At 46.3% G+C, this 6,728-nt stretch overlaps 1 annotated feature.

Annotated features, from left to right (window-relative positions):
• Positions 2,098 to 2,598: an enhancer, noted in NCBI's record as "H3K27ac hESC enhancer chr2:23520344-23520844 (GRCh37/hg19 assembly coordinates)". NCBI's record gives its function as "activates a minimal SCP1, AML or CMV promoter by ChIP-STARR-seq in primed H9 embryonic stem cells {active_cell/tissue: H9 hESC(primed)}" and the evidence as "EXISTENCE:reporter gene assay evidence [ECO:0000049][PMID:30033119]".

The raw sequence follows: 6,728 nt of genomic DNA on the forward strand, positions 1-6,728 counted from the left end.
TAGGTTAGGTTCCTCTCCTGTGCACTGTCACTCACACACACACACCCCCACACACCTGTTGTGAGTGGTGTTCCAGGTGGAGGGGTTGGAGGAGACACTTCTCCACTCCTGGTGTTTTCCATCAGATGAAGCCTGCTTCCACTAGCACCATACACCTGGCCTCTCTCTCCACCCTTCACTCATTTATACTGAATTTATATCAATTAGTGGCCCTGGAAGGGAGATTTGGGTCTCAGTAACCTAGACCTCCTCCTCCTCCCTCATCTTAGAAGCAAGTTCTTCTAGGAAGCCCATCCTATGCACAGCTGCTGCGCTATACTGTAGGATTTACCCAGATGCAGGCTCTCCGGCTGCAAGTGGGAGCCTTGCCTGGCCCAGGCTGCCTGGGACTGCTGGGCCAACTCTGAGATTCAGCATCAGGCAGCCCACGTGCCTGAAGATACAAGCTCCATTCTCCAATGGCAGCTTCCTAGTTAATTTGAGTGCTATTTTGATTTCCCATCTGCCTTACTTTTTTATCTTTTTTCAGTTGGCTCAGGTCTTGGGTGAAAAAAAGGAGAGTTCATCATTGGACCTTCTCCAGACCTGCCTCTGTCTCCTAATAACTATGTGTTTAATCACCAGTGTCCCACTCGAGACCCTCCACTCCAGGAGGACTGGTGCATCTCTCTTTTTCATTGTGTTTCCCGTGCCAAGCAATGACTGGTGTGTCGGATGCTAAACCCCAGTAAATGTTAAAGAGGTAGCTAAATGCTATTGAGAAAAAATTAGAAGAAAGAAATGAAAAGGAAAGAAAAAAGGAGAGAAGAAAAAAGGAAAGGGAAGGCATCTTATAAGAAAGAGACAGGAGAGGAAGACAAGGAAAAAGAAAACTAGGTAATAAGGAAAGAAGACGATAAGAACTTCCTTGAGAGGAAGTCAAAAAGGAAAAAAAACAAAAGGGTAACCAAGTAAGGGGTAAAAGAAAGTGCCAGAACAGACCCTGCAGCCAGGCTAGAGAGCCCAGCGAGAATGAGAGCAAGACTATGGCTAGCCTCTCACCCTTCATCCTTCCCTCCCTCAAAGGGCTTCCTTCCCATCCCGACTCTCACCTTCGCTCTCCAGTAGATTCACCTGAACAATTAGCTTTCGCCTCCTCCTCTCTGTTCGCAGTGCTGCTGGGAGGTAGGACTGGGATGAATGCAGAGGGAAGCGATTTGGGAGGAGGAAGCCTCACTGAGAGAAGGGTTAATAGTGTTTGGAAGCTACATCCAGAAACTCTTATCTCCTGTATGAGCCCAGGGATCACCCCGGGACCCCAGCCCTGCAAAGGTCAGGAAGCTTAGAGAACAAGCTCCTCTAATAAAGCAAAAGCCGTCAGCTCCTCCCACAACACCTTCCCCAAGGCCCAGCCTACCCTCTTCCCCCAGGCCCCCTTTCCTGTTCAATTCTCATTATCCTTCTGCTAATCGAATAGAGCTGGGCACTTGATCAAAACTATTGGTTCTGTAACTCACCCAGATGCATCATAAGCCGAGACGTTTATGGCTGTCCTGGGATATATATCTCTGTGATCTAGCTCCTCCGCGAGCTCTTTGGCTGCCCCCGGAGTCGGGACAAATCTTATTTCAAAGTATGTTTAGAAGAAGGAAGCTGAGGCCTGGGTAGGTCTTCTTCTGACACTCCGCCTCCCTGTTCACAATGGCCAAAGGAAAGGGCCACAAGCACTTCCCAGGAAATAAACAGATGAATTAACGTTAATTATTTTGTATGCGTTTGATCTGTAGGTGAACTAGTATCATCAGGCAGCACTCACTCGTGAATATTCCCTGGGACTCCAGCATGGTGGGGATTTTAAAAAGAAATGTAGCTCTATCAATAAGAAACATGTCATCCTGTTTATGCCCAAGTTGCATCACCCACAAAACAGCCTTTCAATATTCTCAGCTGCAAGGTACGTTCACAATGATGATTAACATTGTTACTGTTATTAAAACCTTCAGTTTTCCTCCCTGGGCTTCAGATGACAGGAATAACATACTGTATTCATCTACTGGGGCTGCTATAACAAAGTAGCACAGACTGGGTGGCTTAAACAATGGATATTTATTTTCTCACAGTCCTTCAGGCTCTAAGTCCAAGATCAAGGTGTCAGCAAGATTAGTTTCTCCTGAGGCCTCTCTCCTTGGCTCATAGATGGCTGTATCCTCTCTGTGTCTACACATGGTCTTCTCTCTGTGTGTGTTTGCATCCTAATCCCCTCTGCTTATAAGGACACCAGTCATATTGGCCTCATTTACCTTAATCACCTCTTTAAAGGCCCTATCTCCAATTCCAGTCACATTTGAGATACAGGGAGCTGGGGCTTCAGTGTAGGAATTTTGTAGGGGCCACAATTCAGCCCAGACCACCCTCTGTCCCAAATTCTTTCCTGAAGTTAGAGCTGAGTCACTGGGGGACGGAGAGGGGGAAACATAAAGGCCTGGCTTCCAATCTCTGCCAAAAACATGAATATTGTTCACAGATATCAGAAGCACAGCCACCACCAGGCACCCCCAGCTGCACAGCCTCAGCCCGTGAGGGCAACGGAGTAGGAACCAACCGCCCACCTGATGATGAGGCCGCCCAGTTCTGAGGCAGTGAGCAGCAACAAATGGCTCCCACCAGAGGTGCCAGCTCAGCAGCGCAGAGAGTGTCAGGCAGCATGTAGAATCTTCATCCCTCCATAAAGGGAAAGTAAGCCCTGGGGAGAGGCTGCAGAGCCTCTGCTAGCTGGTTAACTTCCTGAGTCTCGGTCTCCTGTCTGTCAGTGGAGGAGATCACTAGAGCTACTTATTCCACCGTATGAAGATTAGACCAGAACATCTCTACTCCAGCACAGTGCAACATGGCACATAGCATGTGCTTGAAACACACTGGCCAGAGCAGCGGTGGTGGCAGTGGTGGTGGCAGCAGTGGGCATCAGGGTCGGATTTTTGTCATCCTCAGAGCCTGCTCTAGCTTTCCCATTTCCGCAAGCTGGCCCAGACCTTCCTGCCCATGCCATGCAGATGCCTCCCTCCTCTTCTCTGCTCAAGGACCAGCTCCCCACTTTCTCCCAGATGGCTTTCCAAAACACACTAGCACACGGAATCTCTGTCTCTGAGCTCCAACAGCTCAGGCCGGCAGTGTGTTCATCTGGCCTGAGCCCAGTCTTGAATCACTGACTTTCATGTGTACTCTTCTAAGCTTCCCATGGAACCTTCAGGGCATGGAGACTCCACATCGTCACCCCTTTGCATTCTTCTGGGTTTGTCCTTACAATGCTGACATTTGTACCCCTCTGTGTCTTTGCCCACATGATGCCCTGATGCCCTCCCTAGGCGTGGCTAATGTCCTCCCTGACACGCAGAAAATAAAGGGAGCTATCTGCCTCAGCACCCAGAGCAACCCACGTGACCCTCATATCCCTTTGTCATCATGGCTGCCATTGGCTGAATGCCTACTCTATGCCAACCGCTGAGCCAGAGGCTTTACACACATTCGCTCCCATGCTCACACTATGAGATTAGTATAATGGCACCATTCTGCAAGTGATGAAACCAAGGCTGCAGGTAAAGTGACTTGCTATAGGTCACATGATCATAAGAAAAAGAAGTTGTCATTTTCTAAGTCTGTCTCCAAAGACAGCTATTTTTCTATCACACCAATGGTCTCAAGTAAGAAAAATGGACACTTAAATCATGTGGGCAGCAGAGCGTGGGGGGTCACATGTTGGAATACTACATAACCATGACAAAGAATCAACCACTGCTACATGCAACAACATGTAATATAAGCAAAGGAAGCCAGACATGGATCGTAAATATATGATTGTGTGCAGATGAAGTTCAAGGGCAGGCGAAGCTAATCCACACTGATGGAAGTTAGAATAGTGGTTACTTCTGGATGAGTGAGTGAGAGGCACCGACTTGGAAGGACCGTGAAGGAGCCTTTTGGGGCACTGGAAATGTTCCTTTTATAGCCGGATGGTATTCATACAAACGCATATGTATGTAAAATTCATGTATGTACATTATCCCTCAATAAAAAAAATGTTTAAAACATCCTCAGGGAGGACATATGTAGTCTTTTAAATATATTCAATATTATAATTTCATATTTGGAAACCAAAAAATAAATCACTCTATTGCTTTTGAAACACAAACTTTAAAAGAATTTTCAAGATGTATACGTTTCTCCAAAGGAGACATATGTTTAAAAGACTGAGACACGCTGCACTGCATGGATCACATTCTGTCTCCATTCTTTGTGTATTTCTGGCTCCCCTGTCAGACTCAGGGCACCTTTGAGGAAACACCATCCTGGAATGGCCACAGCATAGGATCTGCACAGCTCACAGGAAGGGTCTAGTAAGGGATTGTCAAATGGGTCATCTCTGCCCTCCAGAACTCATAACATGTGGACAAGTCCAAGAATTCAGGACTGAGGCTGCTTCTCCCAATCCTGTCTATCATTCAGCCACATTTTACAACTCAGACAAAGAGAAGAATACCACTGCTGTGGAAAGCCTTGCTCCGAAACAAGGGGTGGTTGCTCAGTGGGCCTGGCAGGGCGCTGAGCTGCTGAGAGTCTGTCTCCACCCCAGTAATCATATAAAATTTCCCCCGCCAGTGCCTCTGCCCCCTGTGGGCAGTTTGCTCTGCATGCTGAATCCGGGCACAGAGAACCTGCTGGAAGTTGCTCTTGCAGGAAATGGCCTTTGCTGTTCTTAGAGCAAAGCCTTTAATTTGCGTGGCAGGAAGCTTAGTGTATTTCACACTGTCGTTCTCATCATGAACTCCTAGGGGAGGAGCATGAGTGTGAACCTTCTATATTGAACATTCAGTTTGCCAGGCCCTAGCATAGGTCCTAGGACATGGTGGGCACATACAGGTAAGTTCACGCCCCTACTCTCCTGAGAGTTCACGATGAGAAAAACAGCACTTGAGGGCTGGGCATTACCAACCAGCCAAGGCACAAATTTTTCTCAAGAACCTGCTATATGCCATGATGGTTGTCAAGAGGATGCAGTGTTTTTGGTGGATGACAATGCCAAACCCTTTGAGTAGCTGAGCCATGCTGAACAATGGAGAGAAAATGCAGAGGCTACTTTGCTTTATTTTAATGGGGCAAAATGTAGGTCTGTGGTCCCTTTCTGCAGTCTTTATTTTGTATTAGATCTCATAAAAGTTCCTAGAAAGTTCCTGCCCAGCTGTCTCTTTGAGCTATAGGTGGACAACAAGACATTTTTCTGGTTCAGTGAGGCCGCAGACAGTGCAGGCTCTTACCTTCACCACAAAGATACCTGCTTCGTCTTTGTCAGATTCTGGAACATTCTCAGGCTTCCACTCATTACTTTGTATCAGTCCTTTAGAGAAGTTAGAGAAATTCCAGGAACTAATGATTGACTCATGAATATCCAGCCTCTCAGGACCCTTATCATTCTTCATTAGAACCAGATAGACAGATTAATTGGCTGATCCTCCTTGAATACCACAAGAGGCAAAAAATGCACTCAAGTGATCAAGCAATGGGAAGAAAGGGAGATAATGGACAAAAAGGTCATGTCCGGAGAGGCCCCAAAGACTATCAGAGTGAACAAGGACCAAAATCATCCCTAGAGATCTCAAAGTGGGGGTGGGCCTAGGACTGGGTCAAATCTTACTCTCAGGCCAAGGCTAGTAACCAAGGTCAGGAGCACCTCCCTCTTGCAATGAAGCGGCAAAGATGCTCTCCCAGTTAGTTCTATCTCACTCCTTCTCTGCTACTCAAGTTTTCAGAATGAGTTCTGTGGCTCTTTCACAAGCCAGGGCTGAAAGAGGAGTGCAGTATGAGGTCTACTCCCACCCTCAGGCCCACAGACACTCTACAGAAATTGCAAGAGACCTGCAGGCCACCCAGCTAGTAGAAACACTTCTCATAATTCTTGGCAACAACCTCATACTGATGTAAATACAAATCTCTTTCACATTCATATTCATTCACTCATGGCCATTTGGAGACATGTCTAATGTATGAGGTATGCTGAAGGTCACAGAGATGAATTAGACATGTTCTAACTGTCCTTACAAGTTTTTAGTCTGGTAGAAGAAACTCATATTCAATAACAAAATACAAGCAAGCTGTGAGGACTATTGCCAGGAAGGGCCCAAGTCTCTATGGGGGCACAGAGGGGGGAAATTCCTTCTAGTTGGAGGAATCAAGAAAGGAAAACAGCAGAAGAAGAGATTTGTACTGGACCTTGAATAAGAGATATCTGGATACATGAGAAAATGGGGAGGCACTAGCCTACCAGGATGAAAGGACTCAGGACCAAAAATGAGGAGATGAGAACACGTAGAGCATGTTCAGAAAACACCAAGTTGATTAATTTCACTAATCAGAGTATGTAAAAAGGAGAAATGGGAGATAAGACTATTTAAGAAATGGTCTAATGTAAGAAAAATCTAAATCTCAGAGGACCTTGAATGTCATATTGGAAGCTCAGACTTCGTTCATTAGGTGATAAGAAGTTATTGAAGAACACGATCAGGGTCAAGGTCAGGGGGGTGGGGGGAGTTGAGGGTGGCTTGAGTGAATTTCACCTTCAGAAGAAAGATCTGGAAGCTCGACAATCAAAGGCAGAAAATACGGAGTCCTCATCTCAGAGAAGGAAAAGTTCTGCTTCATTTTCAAGCTCTCCATGATGTCTATTTCATCAGTTTTCTCTTCTCTGTTTATATATTCAG

Source organism: Homo sapiens, chromosome 2 (assembly GCF_000001405.40).
Source record: "Homo sapiens chromosome 2, GRCh38.p14 Primary Assembly".
NCBI lineage: Eukaryota > Metazoa > Chordata > Mammalia > Primates > Hominidae > Homo > Homo sapiens.